The sequence below is a fragment of the Homo sapiens genome, chromosome 5 (genome assembly GCF_000001405.40).
Source record: "Homo sapiens chromosome 5, GRCh38.p14 Primary Assembly".
Taxonomy (NCBI): Eukaryota; Metazoa; Chordata; class Mammalia; order Primates; family Hominidae; genus Homo; species Homo sapiens.
Genome location: NC_000005.10, coordinates 178813421 through 178835174, shown reverse-complemented (window position 1 = coordinate 178835174; position 21754 = coordinate 178813421). Strand labels below are relative to the sequence as shown.

Genomic DNA, 21754 nt, shown 5'->3' with positions numbered 1-21754 from the left:
CAATTACTCAATTTATTCTTTACTATCATGAGAATATAGACAGCATATTTTACACAGAGCATAACAAAGCTTTACCTTCATTGAATTACAAGTAAAATATATGTATATGTAAATAAACATATATAATTTAGATATTAAATGACAGAATTCACTTATTTACCTGTGCGAGATGGAATGTGATTCTAGCAATCATTCCAGGTACAATAACTGGTTGAAAATGGGACATGGGCTGGGCGCCATGGGTCACGCCTGTAATCCCAGCACTTTGGGAGGCTGAGGCGGGTGGATCATGATGTCAGGAGTTCAGGACCAGCCTGGCCAAGATGGTGAAATCCTGTCTCTACTAAAAATACAAAAATTAGCCGGGCATGGTGGCGGGTGCCTGTAATCCCAGCTACTCGGGAGGCTGAGGCAGGAGAATCACTTGAACCCAGGAGGCAGAGATTGCAGTGAGCCAAGCGCTACTGCACTCTAGCCTGGGCGACAGAGTGAGACTCCGTCTCAAAAAAAAAAGAAAAGAAAATGGGACATGAAGTAAATTGATATGATTAAAAGAAACTACATCAAGTGAATTCACTATAATGTCTCCAAGCAAGGCAAGACCACCCTCTTGAGATAAGGAATGAGAGGCTACTTATTTTGACCAAGTTAGCTCAATGATTTGGGGAACCAAGGACTACATGGATACTCATTTTGTTCCCCCACCCACCCCCGCCACCACCAAAAAAATACTTGAGAACCCATTATTTCCCAATTCATGCTTCTACTTTCACATAAAAGTTGATACTCCAAAATCAACTTAAATTTTATTAACCAAATACAATCTTCCTAAAGACAAAGAGAAACATTTCACAAGAGTTAAGCCAACAGAAAGATAGGGAATATGAAACAACAAAGAACATCAATAAACCAAAATTAAATGTTTGGAAAGATAACAAAATTGGCAAATGTTTATTTAGGCTAAACAAGAAAAAAAAAGAAGAGAATCAAATTACTAAAATCATCAATAAAAAAGAACACCATCACTGCCAGTATTACAAAACAAAAATGATTAAAAGAGAATGCAATGAAAATCTTATGCCAAAAAAATTAAGATAGCCTAGATAGAATGGATGAAGTCCTAGAAAGAGACAAACTAAAATAGAGTAAAAGAGAAATAGAAAATATAAATAGATCTACAGAAGGTTAAAAGATCAGATAGTAATTTTAAAAACTTACAATAAAAATCCTATCTCAGGGAGCTTCCCAGGTGAATTCTATCAAACACTCTGAGAAATTAATATCAATTGTTCACCAACTGTTGCAGAAAATAAAAGGGGAGAGAACACCTCCCAATTCATTTTATAAAGCCAGGATTACTCTGACACCAAAACAATATCACAAAACAATGTAGACCAGTATCTTTCATTGTTTTATAAAATCAAACATATTCAACAAAACACTGCCAAATGAACTCCAGCAACATATAGATAATGCACTACATGCAAATGTGTTTTACCCCAGGAATGCACCATTAATATTTGAAAAATCAATGGATGCAAACACCTCATTAATAGAATAAAAAACAAATATATGAGCATCTCAACAGAAATAAAGCATTTGAGAAAAACCGTATTTTTTGCAAACCTTCTCTCCCTCCCGCTCACCCCCCATTACTCTCTCATCACTCTTTTTCCATCTACCCAAAAACGTTTTCCCCACTGTCTTTCTGCAAAACCTTCTCTCCCTCTTGTTCACCACCCGTTTTTCCCCCTCCACGTACCCCCCCCCCAATTGTTTTTCCCACCATTTTTCCTGACCGTCTTTTTGCAATGCCTTCTCCTGCTCGCCATCCTCTTTTCCCTTTGGCACTAAGCACTCTCTGTACCCCTCCATCTATCCCAAAACTATTTTCCCCTTCCTACCGCTCCAGCTTCACTGCAGTCTCTGCCGCCATCAACCACAGCGAAGCGAGCCGCGGTGCCAAAAGCTATAAGCCTCAAGCATGCGGTGGTGGCTATCCCTGGTCCTGGTCCTCTAAGCTGGGCACAGAGAAGCTCGCTGAGCAGACACAGCCTGGAATGGCCTGACTCCCCTTCAGCACTATTTATACACAGAGGTTATGCATATGAGGTTCCTGGACTACATGTTCTGATTGGATATGAGAAAAACCAGAGGCCTACTCTGATTGGACTTTATTATCATGTTCTGATTGGATGAGAGCAAGTCTCAGGACAACCAATCAGAGTGTGAAAATAAAGTCCAATCAGAGAAGGCCCAGAGGTTTTCTCTCATCCAATCAGAATATGTAGTCTAGAAACCATTCTCATAAGCCCATGTGCATGCTGAGGAGGCCTCCCGTCATTTTAGGCTGTTGTGTATCAGTTAGCAGAGCTACTTTGTTTCCCGCTTGGAGGACCTGGAGAAGGGGAGCTCAGCCACGTGCTGCACGCCGGAGGCTGGAGCCTTGCAGCACCGCGGCTCGCCTCCCTGCAGTTGGTGGTGGTGAGGGAGAATGCAGTGTGCGGCAGAGTGTAGGAGGGCGGCCGGAGCGGTAGAAGGATGGCCGGCAGGAAGAGCTGCTCCTGACCGGCTAGAGGACGAGAAGCGGGGACCACTTGTGCATGCTGGAGGCTGGAGCGTTTGCCACTGAGGCCTGCCTGGCTGCGGTTGGTGGTGGTGATGGGAGACTGAAGCTCAGTTACAGTGGTAGAAAGGTGGTGGGGTAGGTTCGCTGTCTGTGGCTGCACTGCCTGCCTGGGGAGGCAGATTTGGTGTGCTGTTGGGTCTGCACTGCCTGCCGTGGGGGACTGGTGGTGGAGTGCTATCCAGCTTTGCGGTGCTGGCGGTGGGTGGTGGGAGGGGTTGGCTGCGCTATCTGGGCCTGCACTGCCCAAGGTGGGGTGAGGGGGGGGTTGGAGGCAGGTTGTGTGAGCTATTGTGCACTGCCGGCGGCGGGGAGGGTGGGTTAGGGGAGCTATCAGCTGCTGCACTGCCCAAGGCAGAGGGCCGGTTGGGTAAGCTATCCCAGGTTACAATCCCAGCAACAATGCCAGCCAACAGTTGGGGGCTGTTTAGGGGAGCTGTCAGGTGCTGCACTGCTGGGGGAGGGGGGGGAGGTGGGGGGGTGGTTGATTGGGTGCACTATCCCGGGCGTTCACTGCCTGTGATGGGAGCAGGTTGGGGGCACTATCTGGGGCTGTGCTGCCCGGGGGTGGGGGAAGAGGGGAAAGAGCAGGTTGGGGGCGCTATTGGGTGCTGCAATGCCTGTGGCAGGGATGGGTTGTGGACACTATCGGGTGCTACACTGCCAGCGCTGCCAGCGGCAGAGGGGTGGTTTGGGGGTGCTATCAGGGTTACATTGCCAACAGCTGGCTCTGGGTATGTCATGGGTGCAGTCTGAGGGCTACGCTGCTGGCACTAGGGGCCAGGTTGGGGCGGTATTGGAGGCGCTGCACTGCTGCTGCCGGCAGTGGGTTGTGGAGGTGGCCGGTACAGCAGTGGCCTCCGAGGAAGGGGCCCTTCTCTTCCTAGAGTCAAGGCTGTAGAGGGTGAAATTCTCCTGCTCGTGTTGGAGCGTGGCAGGCGCACAGAGTTTTCGCAGCAATTCTCTGAGCACAGCAGGGTCCCCACACCCACTGTGGTTCCCCAGCCCTCGCCCTTTTGTTCGTGTTGCGGAGACCATCTGGGACCCCTGGGCATGGAATAGTGGGCACCACAGGGGCTCAGGGCCCTGTGGGTGGTGGAGTCAGGAGTGAGAACCGGTACTTGGGTGGGGAGGACTGGCTGGGTCGGAGTTTCTGCTGTTCCTACTCCCCAAGGAGCGCCGGGCACTGTGGTGTCTCCAGTCCCCATCCCAGGTCAGGAGGCCAGCTTGGGCCAGGAGGAGAGGTTGGACTTCAGAGGGTGGGTGTGAGTGCCTTCGCTGAAACCAGCCCTTGCCACCCAGTGGCCAGCATGACTAGGTGCGGCTCTAACGCTGCCACTTTCTGCATCCTGTTTTGGGGTTTTTTGGCTTTGCCCACCCAGGTGCTCCAAGCCAGGCTGGAGGAGGAGGTGAAGGAGGAGTTACCTATGGTGAGCTGGAGCCTGGAGTTTGCAGATGGCACAGCTCTGTGGCTCGCCTCCTGCGGTTGTGGCGACAGCAATGGAGACTGCAGCTCGGCAGGAGTGGTAGGAGGGCGCCCGTGTTGGCCAGGTGGTAGGAGCCTTGTAGGGTGGGCCGGTGGATGGAAGGTGACAGCACTGCTGGTTGCGTTGGCGTCGGTGCTAATGGTGGCAGCAGCAGCAAATCTGGGGCCTGGGAAGGGGGAGTAGGAGCACTTTGGGGCCTAGCCTGGCCTGGCATGGGTAGGAAGCTGCCGGTTCTGTACCGCAGCCCTCGGTGACAGACGGAGGCGTAGCCAGGGCAAGGAGGAGTCCTCTCTTTTCTCCTGCAGTCTCTGGAGGGTGCCCTCCTCCTGCTGGCATCTGAGCCAGCTGTGAGTGGCAGCATTGCCTCATTCTTACACAAATAGTCAACCCCTAAATTTTGTTACTTTTTTCTTGTTTTTTGTTCTGATAGTCTTCGATTTTTTTAATTTCATGAATCGGGGAGGGGAAAAAAGGTATCATAACAGGCCTTCTAATTCTTGCACCTGGTCTTTTACCTTTCTTTCAGTCTAATCTTATCATCATCATCATCGTGTTCTTCATTTTCTTATACTGCTGCTTATATTTCTTGTTTTTATGCTTGTTTCTCAACCTCCTCCTCTTGTTTCCTTTATCCCAAGGAATGGCCTTAACAAACCAAAACCGAGTTAAAAGCTACTCGTCACTGTGTTATATTTTCAAAATAATCAGCCTCTTACTTTGGAGCTGGTGGAGAGAGAGATTGAGAGGGTGCGAGTCACCTCTGGAAGGCTGGGATTTGTTTTTACTGAGAAGAAAATAGGTTCTTTGTTATCACAAGCCTTGTGTGACACCAGCAGCTCCTCCTTGCTCCACTCTCACAAACCACAGCACCCAGACTGGTGAGTCCAAACACACATGCACACACACATATACACACACATTACATTCATGTGCACACATGTTCATGTGCACATATAAATACATGCTCATATACTCAAGATAGACATTCACATGTGTACACACATTGCACACTTGTGTGTGCATATGCATACAAGTACTTGCACACCGATACAGGCACACACACACTCACACACATTAACATTTCCTTTTTAACGTTTTCTGTTTGCCCCTGGTGAAACGAGGGCCAGAAGACACTGTTCCACCATTGTGATGCCGTCAGTAGGCAGACTAGGGGAAATGTGGTCACAGCCATGGTGCCAAGTTTTGAACTCAGCCTCTGAGCTGAGCCTGGATCCATAGACGTTTCCCAATGTTCCTCTGCTGCCTCCACACCCCATCCGCAATACCAGCCCCCCGTGGAGGGTCAGGAGCTGTGTGTGCAAGTGGACATTATTGTAGATGCTTCTGTAATGAGGACGTGCAGGAGAAATAAAGAATTTCTGTGTTAAACACTCTCAGCCTTCCTCTGCCGTTTAGCAAAAATTCCCAGGAGAGTGATGACGGGACAGAAACAGGAGTGAGAAACAGGAAGAATGGACAAGATGATTAGAAGGCTGAACGAAGGAGAGAGCAAGCTAAGATGAGAAAAAGCACTGCAGAAAACATTCTGAAGGAGAGAGGAGGGGCAGATGGGGGAACAAGGAGCAGGTGGAGAGTGAGATTGAGAGGGTGCGAGTCACCGCTAGAAGGCTGGGATTTGTTTTTACTGGGAAGAAAAAATGTTTTCTGTTATCGCAAGCCTTGTGTGACACCAGCAGCTCCTCGCCCCACTCTCACAAACCAGCCCCCAGACTAGTGAGTGCAAACACACACGCACACACTTATATACATACACATGTACACTTATGTGCACACAGATACTAACATGCTCATATACTCAAGATACACATACATTCACATGCACACATAGACATGTACTCACATGCACACTCGTGTGTGCACATACACACTCACATGTACACGCACACCCATACAGGCAGGCGCACACACACACATTAGCATTTCCTGTTTAACATTTTCTGTTTGCCTCGGGTGAAACTGAGTACCAGGAAATACTGCCCCACTGTTGTGATGCAGTCAGTAGGCAAGCTGGGGGGAGTTTGGTTACAGCCATGGTGCCAGGTTTTGAAGAGGTTTATGCTAGTTTGGATTTCTTGGCATGAGCTAGATCTTCCCTGACAGTGGCATCTGGCCCCAGCTCCATGCAGTCCTCACCAAGTCCCATTGCCTGTGCATCCTATGTTTCATCTTCCAAAGCTGGCTTCAGCAGTGGCCTGTGAAGTTGGCTGCAGAACCATGGAAGTGTGGAAATAGAGATCAGAACTTTACATAACTGTATTTTATCTCACTTTTTAAAATTCCCTATTCTTTTGTATATGCTTAATAATGTTTATATTAGTGGAGTCGAGCATTTAAGCGATCATTAAATAAAAATACAATACGGCTGCATGCTCAGAAAGATTTTGCTTCTAGCTACGTTGCCAGGGAAGCCTGGTGGTCATTTTTGTCTGTCTTTTCTTGGACAATCTTTTGGTTCCTTTTCCAGTTCAGTCAAGTGTCAAGAGAGTTCTCATCTCTCTTCCTTCTAACCCCATGATTAAAAATCTTCAGTAGCTTCCCAGTGTTTTTAATACAGTCATGAATACGAGTGTCTTGTCTTTTTTTTTTTTTTTTGAGACAGAGTCTCACTCTGTTGCTCAGGCTGGAGTGCAGTGGCGCGATCTCGGCTCACTGCAAGCTCCACCTCCCAGGTTCATGCCATTCTCTTGCCTCAGCCTCCCGTAGCTGGACTACAGGCACCCGCCACCATGCCTGGCTAATTTTTTGTGTTTTTAGCAGAGATGGGGTTTCACCGTGTTAGCCAGGATGGTCTCAATCTCCTGACCTCGTGATCCACCCGCCTTGACCTCCCAAAGTCCTGGGATTACAGGCGTGAGCCACCGTGCCCGGCTGAGTGCCTTTTCTTAAAATATGTAAGATTTGTCTTGCATCTTTTCAGCCTTATCTCTTTGTACTCCGTCACTAGCACCCTGGGCTTTGAATCTCTGGGATGAGGCTCCATCCTGCAGTCTGTTTTCCCCTTGCTTGGTAAAACAACTTCTTTATCCTCATTGCCCACCTGTTTAACCTTGACTCATTCACTGGGACTCTACTTAAGTAACATATTCTCCGGTAGTTCTTTCCTGATCCCATAGTCTTGCTAACTAGTCCCATAGCATCTTGCATTTTTGGTGACTACAAGAGAGCAGGGATCGTGCCCGGGTTGTCCAAATCCAGTGGTGTGCTGGTAAATGCTTAACAACTGACTCACTGAAAAACACAAAACTTGGCTTGTAGTATTTGCACATTTCTGTGTTGTAGGTAAGGATATCATGGCCAGATTCAAGCTACCAAGCTGATGTCACTGATGAGTTGGGACGAGATGGATGCTAGCACACCATCCTAGGATAATTCTACCATACAGATTGAGTAGATGCACCATGAACATAGATAATAAAATATACTGAAATAATTAGAATATGAGGAGTCTTAAGTATTATTGTTTTAATATAATTTAGTTGGAAGTTTATAGAATGCATTTTAATGATGACTTTATTAAGAATAAACTCTCAGAAGTTCCTGAAAATGTAATAACCTGTTCTCATGCAATGGTATGAGCCAGGACTAGAGATCCCTTGTGTCAAGTACAGACAGGTCACATTTTTTGCATTGATGGCAGACATTGGAATAAGCCAACATGTATATGTGCTGCCATTTCTTGGAATTTACTGTGCCTTTGAATTATCGACTTACTCTGGTAGATCTGGGATGTTTTGCATTATACTAGCGTTTATATGAGAATGTGTATACAAAAGAGAAATATATACAAGTGCAACTAGATACTCAAGGACACTCCAGTAGTGCAACTGATTTACTAAGGCATTAACATTGATCTAGTGAAGTTTAATGACAAGCGATTGGCTCAGATAAATAAATGATAAAACATTAATCTTGCTCTGTTGGGTAGGCAAAGTGGAAGGAACAATGGTAACATTTTATTGCTCAGAATCCCCATTTTGCTTTTCATCTCCTTATTTACCAATCATTAAGAGGTGAATTATCAGAAACACACTTTAGTAGTATTTGCTTGCAGCTAGTTAATTGGTAGTTTTGACTGAATTACTTTAGTTCAACACAAATTCCTAAATGGATTAAACATTTGACTGAAAAGATTCTTTAGAAGAAAATACAGACTATTTCACAAGATTATAATGACATATTGTGTGGAAATGTTTAAAGGGCACTCAACACATTTCTGTTAATCCAAGTAAATGTTCCTAACATGGATATAAGAGTAAATGCCTCCAGGGTTAACAAAAGTTGGTGCAAAATTTAGACGTTTTAATAGCTACGTAGTAGGGGATTTCAAATATTATTTTCTAAAGATTAACTGTTAACATTTAGGTCCTGTAAAGAAAAAGTTTTAAAATGCCCTAGAATATAGTATTTTTTTTTGTAATTAGTGTTTCTAGATGAAACAGACCTTCTAAACTTTATTTCTAAAAATCAAAAGCTATTAGAGCCAGAAAGGTTTTTTTCTTATGGATGAGGAAACTGGAGCCACATGTGAATATGGACAGCCCTGTTCTGTTTGAGTATTGGAATGTGTGGTTTACCATTTGAATGAAGACCTGAGCAAGTAAGAGCTTGTCATTGTTGCAGATGGTGCTCAGGCCTGCACTCGACTCTGTGCTGCCCCATCATCCTGGATGACTCTCTCCTTTGTTATATTTGCAGGGAAAGCTAAGGAGGCAGCATATTAGAAATCCATAGTAATGTAGATAAATTTTGTAAATTTAAATAAGATTGGTCACCATTCCTATGTAATTCAGAGCAAAAGAAGGGATTTTTTTTCTAGTTTTTCGCATCTTGCTTGCCATTATGAATGTGGCATTCAGCTTTGAATCGTTTCCAGTGACGTGATTTTCAATATTGTTGTGTGTGACATTTTGACAATTAAAATGCCTAATGCAAATGCTGCAATGCTTTTTCTTCTTTTCATTCCCCCTTTCCTCAGTGGGGCTGTGTTTGTTGGCTAGGAAGCCACAAACGGGTTGCATTCTTGTTGCTTGGTTGTCAGACTGGTGGAGTTATTGATAGTTTTCATCTTTAGAGTTGTAAACGTGCTACTTAAATATTAGAGCCATTTTATCAATATTAAAGTACTTCATCTGCCCAATTAAAAAGCAGCCAAGCATTTGTTTGATTTTCTATAACTAGTTGAAGATTTTTGTCTTCAAGCCAGAAACTTCTGCCTGCAAAAACACGAACCCAGTGAGAAGAAGTGAGAAGTAAATTAATGTAAAAGTTAAACTGAAGACAGTGATACTGCATTGTGAAACCTATTTGTCTGAGGACAATCAGTTGCTGGTTGAAGATCGGACAAGAGAAGTCACCCTCTGAGCTATACTTGATCAGAGTCACCACCAGGGGTGACTGCACTAGGCCAGGAGAGTAGAGAGTAGGTTAGCGTCTCACTTCCCCGTGGGTCTTGAGCATCCTGTAAACTTTTGAGCTGCTGTGCCTTTTACAACAATAATAGCCCTGTCCTCAGGCTGCAGCCCAGAAATGCGTAGAATCCCTGCATTGGTTGAGGCATCTATGGATCCAGAGAAGTGGCTGGGATCTTGCGGCCCTGCTGCTTGCTAGAGTCTGAGTAATATCTGGGGAGGAACCCGAGAGGACTCCCTGGCCTCTGTTGGACAATCTGATGAGATGGAGGATGAAGAAGGCTGAGCCTTGTGTCCTACAAAGATCCTGAGAGCCAGAATCACAGGTGGGTCAGCTCAGTGGGAAGGAGAAGGGATTCTGGAAGCCAGTCCTTCATGGGATGCTCTCCAATAACAGAAATATTCATGTGAGCCACTAGACGAACTGTAAGAAAACCCTCTTTGAAAACTCCTAAAAGAGTTCGTCTTTTTTTTTTTTTTTTTTTGAGATGGAGTCTCGCTCTGTCGCCCAGGCTGGAGTGCAGTGGTGTGATCTAGGCTCACTGCAAGCTCCGCCTCCTGGGTTCACACCATTCTCCTGCCTCAGCCTCCCGAGTAGCTGGGACTACAGGCACCCACCACCACACCCGGCTAATTTTTTTGTATTTTTAGTAGAGACGGGGTTTCACTGTGTTAGCCAGGATGGTCTCGATCTCCTGACCTAGTGATCCTCCCGCCTCGGCCTCCCAAAGTGCTGGGATTACAGGTGTGAGCCACCGCGCCCATCCTGTGTCTTTTTTTTTAATGAGACAGAGGGTCTTGCTGTGTGGCAGAGGCTGGTTTCAAACTCTTGTCCTCAAGGAATCCTCTGGCCTTCAGCCACCCAGGGTTGGGATTATAGGCCTGAGCCATCATGTGTGACCCCTAAGAACTTATGTTTTTGGAAATTCCTCTCAACTCTGCACAAATCAAGTTGTAATTTTGGCAATGGTTTGAGATTTTAAATCTGTTTCTGAGTATTTGCAGGGTTTTGAATGGAAATTTAAAAGATGGGTCATGGAATATTAACAGTGCATTTTAAACAGATCCCCAGGAGTAATTACTTTTTAATTTTTATTTTTATTTCAATAGTTTTTGGGTAAGCTGGTTTCAGTTACATGGATGTGTTCTGAGATTCTACTGGACCCATCACCTTAGCAGTATACACTGTACCTATTATGTAGTTTTTTATCCCTCATCCCCCTCCCATCCTTTCCGAGTCCCCAAAGTCAATTATATCATTCTTAGGCCTTTTTATCCGCATAGCTTAGCCCTCACTTTTTTTTTTTTTTTGAGATGGAGTCTCGCTCTGTCTTCCAGGCTGGCGTGCAGTGGTGCGATCTCCGCTCACTGCAAGCTCCGCCTCCTGGGTTCACACCATTCCCCTGTCTCAGCCTCCCGAGTAGCTGGGACTGCAGGCACCTGCCACCACACCTGGCTAATTTTTTATTTTTAGTAGAGACAGGGTTTCACCATGTTAGCCAGGATGGTCTCAATCTCCTGACCTCGTGATCCGCCCACCTCGGCCTCCCAAAGTGCTGGGATTACAGGCGTGAGCGACTGCGCCCGGCCAGCTCTCACTTTTAAGTGAGAACATATGATACTTGGTTTTTCATTCCCAATCCTAAATTACTTCACTTAGAATAATGGCCTCCAGCTCCCTCCAAGTTGCTGTAAAAGGCATTTGTTCCTTTTTGTGGCTGAGTGGTATTCCGTGGTGTATATATACCACGTTTTCTTTGTCTGCTCGTTGGTTGATGGGCACTTAAGTTGGTTCCATGCCTTTGCAGCTGTGAATTGTGCAAACATGCATGTGCATGTGCCTTTTTCACAGGATGACTTCTGTTCCTTTGTGTAGATACCCAGTAGTGGGGCTGCTGGACTGAATGGGAGTTCTACTTTTATTTCTTTAAGGACTCTTCATACTGTTTTCCACAGTGGTTATGCTCACTTACATTCCCCACTAGGAGAGTAAGAGTGTTTCCTTTTCACCACATTCATACCAACATCTGCCGTTTTTTGACTTTTTAATTATGGCCATTTTTGCAAGAGGAAGGTGGTGTCTCATTGTGATTTTGATTTGTATTTGTTTGATGATTAGTGATGCTGAACATTTTTTCACGTGTGTCTGCTTGTGTATCTTTTGAGAAGTGTCCATTTATATCTTTTGCCCACTTTTTAACAGGGTTATTTATATTTTGCATGTTGATTTAAGTTCCTTACAGATGTGGATATTAGACCTTTGTCAGATGCATAGTTGGGGAATATTTTCTCTCATTTCATAGGTTGTATATTTACTCTGTTAATAATGTCTTTCGCTGTGAAGAAGCTCTGTCATTCAATTAGGTCCCACTTGTCAACTTTTGTTGGTGTTGCAATTGCTTTTGATGACCTCGTCATAGATTTTTTCCCAAGGCTGATGTCCCAAATGGTATTTCCTAGGTTTTATTCTAGAGTTTTTATGGTTTGAGGTCTTACACTTAAATCTCTGATCCAGTGGCTAGACCAGCCATCTTCAAGAGACTCATCTCACGTGTAACAACATCCACAGGCTCAAAGTAAAGGGATGGAGAAATATCTACTGTGCAAAAGTCACTATTCTTTTTTTTGAGACGGGCTCTGTCACCGAGGCTGGAGTGCAGTGGTGTGATTATGGCTCGCTGCACTCAACTTCCCAGTCTCAAGTGATCCTCCCACCTCAGCCTCCTTGTGTCCTGAGTAGCTGAGACTACAGGCATGCACCATCACACTTGGCTAATTTTTGTATTTTGTGGTAGAGATGGGGTTTTGCCACGTTGCCCAGGCTGATCTCCAACTCCTGTGCTCAAACAATCCACTTGCTTCAGCCTTCCGAAGTGCTGGGATTACAAGCATGAGCCACTGTGTCCAGCCCAGGCATTGCTATTCTTATATCAGATAAAACAAACTTTAAAGCAATAAAAATTAAGTAGGAGAATGAAGGCCATTACATAACGATATTTTTATTTTTTTGAGATGGAGTCTTGCTCTGTCGCCAGGCTGGAGTGCAGTGGCACAATCCCGGCTCACTGCAACCTCTGCCTCCCGGGTTCAAGCGATTCTCCTGCCTCAGCCTCCCGAGTAGCTGGGATTACAGGCGTGCGCCACTATGCCCAGCTAATTTTTGTAATTTTAAAAGAGACGGGATTTCACCATGTTGGCCAGGATGGTCTTGATCTCTTGACCTTGTGATCCGCCCGCCTCGGCCTCCCAAAATGCTGGGATTATAGGCGTGAGCCACCGCGCCCAGCTTACATAATGATAAAGGGTACAATCCAACAAGACTTAACTACCTTAAATATATATTCACCCAACATTGGAACAACCAGATTCATAACACAAGTTCTTGACCTACAACATGACTTAGACAACCACACAGTACTAGTGGGAGACTTCAACTCCCCACTGACAGCGTTAGACAGATCATTAACACAGAAAATTAACAAGGAAGCTGGACTTAAACTCAACACCTGACCAGTTAGACCTAATAGTTTTCTACAGAAAACTCCACTCAACAGCCACAGAATATACTTTTTTCTCATCTGCACAGGTAAGACTCTCTAAGATCAATCGCATGCTCAGTCATGAAGCAAGCCTCAATAAATTTAAAAAATAACCTGGACGGGCCCAGTGGCTCACACCTGTAATCCCAACACTTTGGGAGGCCAAGGCGGGCGGATCACGAGGTCAGGAGTTTGAGACCAGCCTGGCCAACATGGCTAAATCCCGTCTCTACTAAAAATACAAAAAATTAGCCGGGCATGGTGGCAGGTACCTGTAATCCAGGCTACTTGGGAGGCTGAGGCAGGAGAATCGCTAGAACCCAGGAGGTGGAGGTTGGAGGTTGCAGTAAGCCGAGATTGTGCCATTGTACTCCAGCCTGGGAGACAAGAGCAAGATCCCGTCTTAAAAAACAAAAAAAGGCAGAAATTTAAAAAATCTTTCGAATTTATGAAAATTTAAAAAATCTTTCAAATTTATGAAAATAGGGACATAGCTTACCCAAGATTCCTGGGATGCAGCTAAAACAGTGTCAAGAAGAAAGTGTATATCACTAAACGCATTCATCAAAAAGTCAGACCTCAAGTTAATTAATTTGGTACATAAAGGAACTAGAAAACCAACCAACCTCAAAGCTTGCAGAAGCAAGTAACTTAAATTGGAGAACTTAATGAAATTGAGATGCAAAAATCTATACAAAAGATGAATAAAATCAAGAGTAGCTTCTGTGAAATAGTTAAACAAGATTGATAGACTGCTAGCTAGATAAAGGAAAAAAAAGAGAAGATCCAAATAAATATAATTGGAAATGACAAAGATGGCATTACAGCTGATCCCACAGAAATACAAAGAACCCTCAGAGAATACTATGAACATGCTCTGGACGTGTGCACAAGTTAGAAAATCTAGAGGAAACGGATATATTCGGGAAACACACAATCTCCCGCGATTGAATCAGGAAAAGCTTGAAACCTTGAACAGAACAATATTGAGCTCAGATTGAATCAGTAATATAAAACCTCAAAGAAAAGGCCCTGCACCAGATGGATTCACAGCCAAATTCTACCAGATGCATAAAGATGAATTGGCAACAATCCTATTGAAATTTTTTTTTTTTTTTTTTTTGAGACAGAGTCTTGCTCTGTCGCCCAGGCTGGAGTGCAGTGGTGCGATCTCGGTTCACTGCAAGCTCTACCTCCTGGGTTCACACCATTCTCCTGCCTCAGCCTCCTGAGTAGCTGGGACTACAGGCGCCCGCCACCACGCCCGGCTAATTTTTTTTCGTATTTTTAGTAGAGACGGGGTTTCACTGTGTTAGCCGAGATGGTCTCGATCTCCTGACCTTGTGATCCACCCGCCTCGGCCTCCCAAAGTGCTGGGATTACAGGCGTGAGCCACCGCGCCCGGCCTCTACTGAAACTATTTTAAATAACCAAAGAAGAGAGGCTCTTCCATAATTCATTCTCTGAAGCCAGCATCAGCCTAATACTAAAATCTGGCAGGGACATGACAACGTGACAACCAAAGAAAACCTCAGACCAGTATTTGTGATGAAGCAAATATCTTCAACAAAATGCTAGCAAGCTAAATCCAGCAGCACATGAAAATGTTAATTCACCGTGATCAAGTAGGCTTTATTCTGGGGATGCAAGGTTGGTTCAACATTTGCAGTAACAAATGTGATTCACTTCAGGAACGGAAAACCATATGATCATATATATAGATGCAGAAAACCTTTTGATAAAATGCAACATCCCCTCATGATAAAAACCCTAACAGGCTGGGCACGGTGCCTCCCAACACACTGGGGAGTGAGGCTGGAGGATGGCTTGAGCCCAGGAGTTCAAGGCCTGCCTGAGCAACACAGACCCATCTCTACCAAAATATATATATATATATGCACCCAGTGTGGTGGTACATGCCTGCATTTTCAGCTACTCAGGAGGCTGAGGCAGATAGATCACTTGAGCTTAGGAGCTTGAGGCTGCAGTGAGTGTGATCATGCCACTGTACTCCAGCCTGGGCAACAGAGTGAGACCCTCAAAAAATGAAATCAGATATAAAATAATAAACTAAATGTGAGGAGCACAGTAAATAATACAAAGAAGTTGGGAAACATCTCCAGCGGGGAGATGTGTGTTGTTTCCCTCTCTGTGTCCATGTGTTCTTACTATTTATCTCCTACTTATAAGTGAGATTATGTGGTATTTGGTTTTCTGTTCTGCATTAGTTTGCTAAGGATAATGGTCTCCAGCTGCATCCATGTCCCTGCAAAGGACGTGATCTTGTTCTTTTTCATTAGCCTGCAATATCTGCATATTCCTACCTACTACCTGACCACTTCAGCTAATCCTATGTCACAAGTTAAGGTTCTGAGACTTGTAGCCTCCACTTCAGGGACTATATTTTATTTTGTAGCTATTGTATTCTGAGCCTTGATCTTAGTGGTCCAAGATTATAGCATCAGCTTCCAGAGAGGATGGAGAAAGAGAAAGTCAAGAAGAAAAAAGAGCATGATCAATATGCCTCTTAAGGCTCTTGGGAGCTGCTAAGTGATGCTTTGCTCGCAAATCATCAGTTGGAGGGTACAGACAGGGCCATATCTAACTAACAGAGGGGCTAGGATATGCAATCTCCATCCTGGGGAGCCATATGCCTAGTCCAAAAATGGGGTTCTGTCACTTTGGAAGTGAGACTGGCAACTAGGGCAGAACAGCAGTCTCTGCCATAGAAAGATATCAGTATAATTCCCATTTTGAAGATAAGAACACTGAGGCCTAAAGAGGCTGAGTGCTTCTTGAGAGTAAGTGGTAAAGCCGATTCCGACTGTGTAATCTGTCTAGTACTCGTTAGTTGTTTTTCCAGATGCTCTCCCTCCTCCCACCCTCCGTCCTCTAATAGGCCCCAGGGTGTGTTTTTCTCCTCTGTGTGTTCATGTGTTCTCATCATTTGACTCTCATTTATAAGTGGGAATATCCCATATTTGTTTTTCTCTTTCTGTGTTAGTTTGCTAAGGATAAGGGTCTCCAGCTCCATCATGTCCCTGCAAAGGACATGATCTCATTGTATTTTATGGCTGCATTGTATTCCATAGTGTATATTACCACATAGTCTTTATCCAGATTTAAATGTAAAACCCAAAACCATAAAAACCCCTGACAACAGCATAGGCAATACCATTCAGGACATAGGCATGGACGAAGATTTCATGAGAAAGACACCAAAAGCAACGGCAACAAAAGCCAAATTTGACGAATGGGATCTAATTAAACTGAAGAGCTTCTGCGTAGCAGAAGAAACTATCAGCACAGTAAAGAGGCAACCTATAGAATAGGAGAATATTTTTGCAAACTTTGCATCCAACAAAGGTCTGATATCCGTCATCTATAAGGAACTGAACTTAAACAAATTTATAAGAAAAAAAGGTGGCTAGATGGACTGGTAGTTGAAGTTTCAACTTTGTGAGAAACCTACTCCTCCACCCATTCTGGATCCCCTTGCTGTAGACTGTTTGTGTCTTCCCAAATTGTCAGCAGTAGAGTTCCAAGAAGACTGGAAGCATTGGCGGTTGCAGAAAAGCAGAGGCAGCTGTGGCAGCCCAGGCTGAGCAGGTGCAGGAGTTCCAGAGCCTTGGAGCCATGGCCTGGGCTGATGCATACTGGAGATGGGATCAGCCTGCGTGCCACGCGCACTGTGAGCAGCAGGCAGGGCCAAACCACCTTTTCTGCCCGCACATGGTGCGCATGTGTGTTCTCCTCTCTCCCCACCCCCGCCATGGAGGCGGTGTGGCATGTGTGGCGTGGCATGGCATCCACAGTGAGGACAAGAGAAGAGCTCCGTTCCCTCAGGACCCCACTGGGTGCCGCTGGCAGCTTCCAGATGACCTGGGCCCCTGTCCTGGGGAAGAAACAGCTCCCGTCCCTGGTGCTGACTGCTGAGGAGGGAGCTTCCTTCTGTGCGGGCTTCTCCACAGCGCGACTGCTCCAGCATTTTTCCTTCAAGGTGAGTATAGAAGAACATTTTCTTCTATGTTCTGTTTCTTCTTGTCAGGTTCTCAGTCGTTTTGCTCTTTCTCTGGTAGTATTTTAGTCTTTGTTTTTCAGTGTTTTTCGTTTCCCCACCAGGGGCTTTTGAGGGTGGCAACATAGCAGGCTGTGGTATTTTTAGGGGTTCGGGATTTTTTCTCAGGGAAACTCCCCCATGTAGATACAGAGGGAAGCTGCAGCTGCTGGAATAAGGGGAAACCCAGCCCAGGTTGAGGGAAGGGGCCAGGTCCAGGTTTGGCTGCAGGTGTCCAAGCCTCAGAAAGAGGAAAAGAGATCTAGCTGCCTCCAGGTTTCCGTAGGTATGAAAATGTGCGTTCCAGCTGCCAGGACACAGGGGCCGCTTTTCTCCACCCGCCGGCAGCAAGTGTGCCCTCCTGTACGTCCTGTCATGGCCACCTGATGGGGTAGGGAGCTTCACTGCAGTTTAATGTTGTCTTTGCAGAAATACATTTCAGGGTCCCTGCCCAAGTTGCGGTGGATCATTTGTTCTTTTTTCTCGTTGTTGTTGCTACTGAGTACTGTGTATATGTTCTGTTCTGTATTTTCCATAACAAGCCCTTAGCAGATACGTCGTGAGTCCCCCAAACCCTCTTTCAACCTTTCTCATTGAGTTCGTCATTTCCTTTGCCGTGCGGCAGCTTTTCAGTCTGCTGTAGCCTCTTGCATATCTGTTTCTGCTTTTGTTGCTTGTGATTTTAGTGCCTAAGTAAAAAAAAAAAAATTCACATATAATTTCCATTCTCAGTGAAATTTTACCCCTACGTGTTCCTTTTTTCATTTTCTTTTCTTTTTTTTTGTTTTTTGAGACAGGGTTTTTGCTCTTGTTGCCCAGGCTGGAGTGCAATGGCACGATCTCGGCTCACCGCAACCTCCGCTTCCCAGGTTCAAACGATTCTCCTGCCTCAGCCTTCCTAGTAGGTGGGATTACAGGCAGGCGCCACCATGCGGGGCTAATTTTGTATTTTTAGGAGAGACGGGGTTTCTCCATGTGGACCAGGATGGTCTCAAACTCCCAACCTCAGGTGATCCACCTCCCTTGGCCTCCCAAAGTGCTGGGATTACAGGCGTGAGCCACTGCTCCCTGCCTTCATTTTCTTTTCTTTTTTAAAACTCTTTCCAACCTGTGGACATGGATTCAAGTTGCTCTGAAAGTAACCTCCCCTATTTTTGCATACAGGAATTTTATTATTTTCATGGTTTCAGGTCTTGTATTTAGGTCCACTTTGAGTTGATTTTTTGCATTGTGTAACAGAGGGTTGTATTTCATTCTTTTGCAATAGGGATGTTGGTTTTCTCAAAACCATTTAATGAAGAACATCTCTTATCCCCATTGTGTCTTTCTGATCCCTGATGCTCATTCCATTTGCTATGGAGGTCTACCCAGTAGGGGGATTGCTGATCATATGGTAGTTACATTTTCTTTCTTTTTTTTGAGACAGAGTCTTGCTGTGTTGCCTAGGCTGGAGCAACATTCATTCTAGTAAGAGTGAAATGGCACACTGCAGCCTCGACCTCCCAGGATCAAGTGATGTTCTCACCTCAGCTTCTTGAGTAACTGGGACTACAGGCGTATCCCACCATGCCTGGCTAATTTTTTTTTGTAAGAGATGGGATTTTGCCACGTTGCCAAGGCTGGTCTCAAACTCCTGAGCTCAAGCGATATGACCACACTGGCCTCCTACTAGTTGTGTTTTCAGTTTTTTGAGGGACCTCCAACTCTTTAGCATAGTTTATATACTAATTTATTTTCCCACAAACAGTGTGTAAGAGTTCCCTTTTCTCTATATCTATACCAGCATTCTTCTTTTTAAATTTTTTTTTTATGGCCAGGCACAGTGGATCACGCCTGTTACCCCAGTACCTTGGGATGCTGAGGTAGACAGATCACTGAAGTCCAGGAATTTGAGAGTAGCCTAGGCAACATGGCAAAACCCCATGTCTACAAAAAAATACAACACTAGCCAGGCGTGGTGGTGCATGCCGGTAGTCCCAGCTACTTCAGAGGCTCAGGTGGGAGGATCACTTGAGCCTGGGACATCAAGGCTTCAAGTGAGCGGAGATCTTGCCGCTGCACTCCAGCCTTGGGGACAGAGTAAGTCCCTGTCTCAAAAAAATATGTTTTAAATCTTTTTAGTAACATTCATTTCAGTAAGAGTGAAATGGCATCTGAATGGTTTTGAAGTACATTTTTCCTGATGAATAGCGATGCTGAGGACCTTTTCTCTCACCTGTTGGCCAGTTTCATGTCATCTTTGCTGAGATGTCTATTCAGATTTTTTTGCCCAGTATTAGTTTAGATATGTATTTTTAGGCTTAGAATTTTGTTTTCTTTATACATGTTTGATAACATCCAGTTGTCACTCATAATGCACTCAAATTTTCAAACAGTTTTGTTTTTGAGACAGAGTATCACTCTGCCACCCAGGCTGGAGCCCAGTGGCACCTCACACAAACACGTATTTTGGATACCTACAGCTTTGGGATGTAACTCGATATCAAGGATTGTAAGCCCTCCAACTTAGTTTGTATTTCTCAGGGCACCTCAGGTATTCAGGGCCGTTTGTGGTTTCATGTGAATATTAGCATTATGTATTCAGATTTCTTAAATGTTCTGTGTATAGTAAAGTACATTATTAGAGGGCATGCTGAGACATTTTGTTCCTCTGAGATATGTTAATATATGTGTATTTTGAGTAATGATCAAACCAAGGTACTTAGCATATCTGTTTCCAAAGATCAGGTATTATTTCTCTGTTGAGAGAACAAATCGTTCCCTTCTAGCTTTTTTGAAAAATACCACACAATATTTTGTTAACCAGTCACCCAGCTGTGGTATAGAACACCAGAATGTGTTTCTGTCATCTAACTGCAACTATGTTTCCAAAATGAATCTTTCACATCCCCCTCATTCCCCCTGCTCAGCAAACCACCACTGTACTTCTACTTCTTGAAGGTAAAGATTTTGGATTCCATATAAGTGAGATGATGCTGTGCTTGTCTTTCTATGCCTGGCTTATTTTACTTAACATAATATTTTCCAGGTTCATCCATGTTGTTCCAAATGAGAAGGACATGATTTGCATGTGGCCGAGGAGTATTGTGTTGTGCGGATATCCCACAGTTTCCTCATCCCTTCACCTGTGGATGGTCAGGTAGATTGATTCCCTATCTTGGGTATCGTGAATTGTGCTTCATTAAACACAGGAAGGCAGGTAACTCCTTAAGGGACAGGTTTCCTTTGCTGTAAATGAAAAACCGAGTGTGGGAATGACTAGATGAACTGGAAGTGGTTTTAATTTTTTGAGGAAGCTCCAACTTTTTTTCACAGTATATACACTAATTTTCAGTGCCACCAATAGCGTATACGAGTTTCCCTTTGCATGAATCTACATAGGCCCCTGCCTTCCAAAACTTCTATTGCTCCTTTGAGTAATGCTCATTCTCAGTGGAGTTTGACAGTATCTTAGTGTATGTCTGGCGTGAGAGTGATGGGGTGCCACTCTTCTTTTAGCTGTGAGTCAATTTCATGTTTTCTTTGCAGAAGTGGCTATCGCACGTCCTTTGCACGTTTGTCGCTTGTGTATTTGTTTTTATCCTTTCCCCCCACTTAGTAGTTTTAGTTTCTTGAATAGGTTTGAAATTTATGATTTTCCATAATTTTCCCCCAATCATCTTTTCCCCCAAGGTAGGATACCTTCTCTTTGGGTTCGTTGTTTTCTCTCCCATGTAGAGAGGTCTAAAGTGTTTCTTAGTCTCAAATGCTGATATTTGCTTTTGTTAGCAGTGATTTCTGTGTCCCGTTGAGAGGGAGAGAAGGGGGATGGTGAAGCCGTGGTATTGTCTATGGGTACACAGATTCAAGTTTTCCCACAAAGAAACGCTGATCTTGTGTTTTCCCCTTGGAGTTTTTTGGTTTCAGGATTGAATTTGGGTGTTAAATTGGTTTTGCATTGATTTTTTTTTTTTTTGAGACAGAGTCTCACTCTGTCACCCAGGCTGGAGTGCAGTGGCGCCATCTTGGCTCACTGCAAGCTCCGCCTCCCGGGTTCACGCCATTCTCCTGCCTCAGCCTCCCGAATAGCTGGGAGTACAGGCGCCCGCCACCAGGCCTGGCTAATTTTTTTTTTTTTTTTGTATTTTTAGTACACACGGAGTTTCACCATGGTCTCAATCTCCTGACCTCATGATCTGCCCACCTCGGCCTCCCAAAGTGCTGGGATTACAGGCGTGAGCCACCGCGCCCGGCCGCATTGATTTTTATGTATTATACAACATAAGGGAACTGTTTCAATCTTTGGCACATGAATACCCAGTTTTCTCAACAGTTATGCCTTCAGTGAGCTTTTGCAAACTATGTTTTCACTATGTAAAATTCTAGGTTGATTATTTGCCTCCCCAGTTTTGTCCATTCAGTGTCTTTCTCTGTTTATGCCAGTAACGAATTGTTTGGATCACTGTAGGTTTCCTCTTTTCCTTTTCTAAGAACTTATTTTCAGCTCCTAGCCTTGGTTTCTAAAGTGACACCTACTTGTATTGTGAGTAAAGGGTGGGGTTTGCAGGTGGGGCACGTGGGTGTATAGCAGGGAGCTGAACTTGGGTTCCCAATGAACCCCGTTACCCAGGCAGTGA

General features: G+C 44.7%; 1 pseudogene across 2 annotated transcripts in view, besides 3 other annotated features; it reads left to right on the top strand.

Moving 5' to 3' along the window:
* Nucleotides 3062-3231: a transcriptional cis regulatory region, noted in NCBI's record as "candidate enhancer chr5.4957 targeted for multiplex CRISPR interference". NCBI's record gives its function as "positively regulates HNRNPAB gene expression in K562 cells {active_cell/tissue: K562}" and the evidence as "EXISTENCE:mutant phenotype evidence [ECO:0000015][PMID:30612741]".
* Nucleotides 3062-3750: a biological region, named in NCBI's record as "CRISPRi-validated cis-regulatory element chr5.4957". NCBI's record gives its function as "regulatory_interactions: HNRNPAB".
* Nucleotides 3127-3750: an enhancer, noted in NCBI's record as "H3K4me1 hESC enhancer chr5:178258426-178259049 (GRCh37/hg19 assembly coordinates)". NCBI's record gives its function as "activates a minimal SCP1, AML or CMV promoter by ChIP-STARR-seq in naive H9 embryonic stem cells {active_cell/tissue: H9 hESC(naive)}" and the evidence as "EXISTENCE:reporter gene assay evidence [ECO:0000049][PMID:30033119]".
* AACSP1 (acetoacetyl-CoA synthetase pseudogene 1) overlaps nt 16740-21754 on the top strand; it is a 53575-nt pseudogene continuing 48560 nt past the window's right edge. For both annotated transcript variants that reach the window (NR_024035.2, NR_135095.1), the window contains exons 1-2: nt 16740-17081; nt 20167-20277. The product of NR_024035.2 is annotated as an acetoacetyl-CoA synthetase pseudogene 1, transcript variant 2 (transcript). The remainder of the gene's footprint in view (nt 17082-20166; nt 20278-21754) is intronic.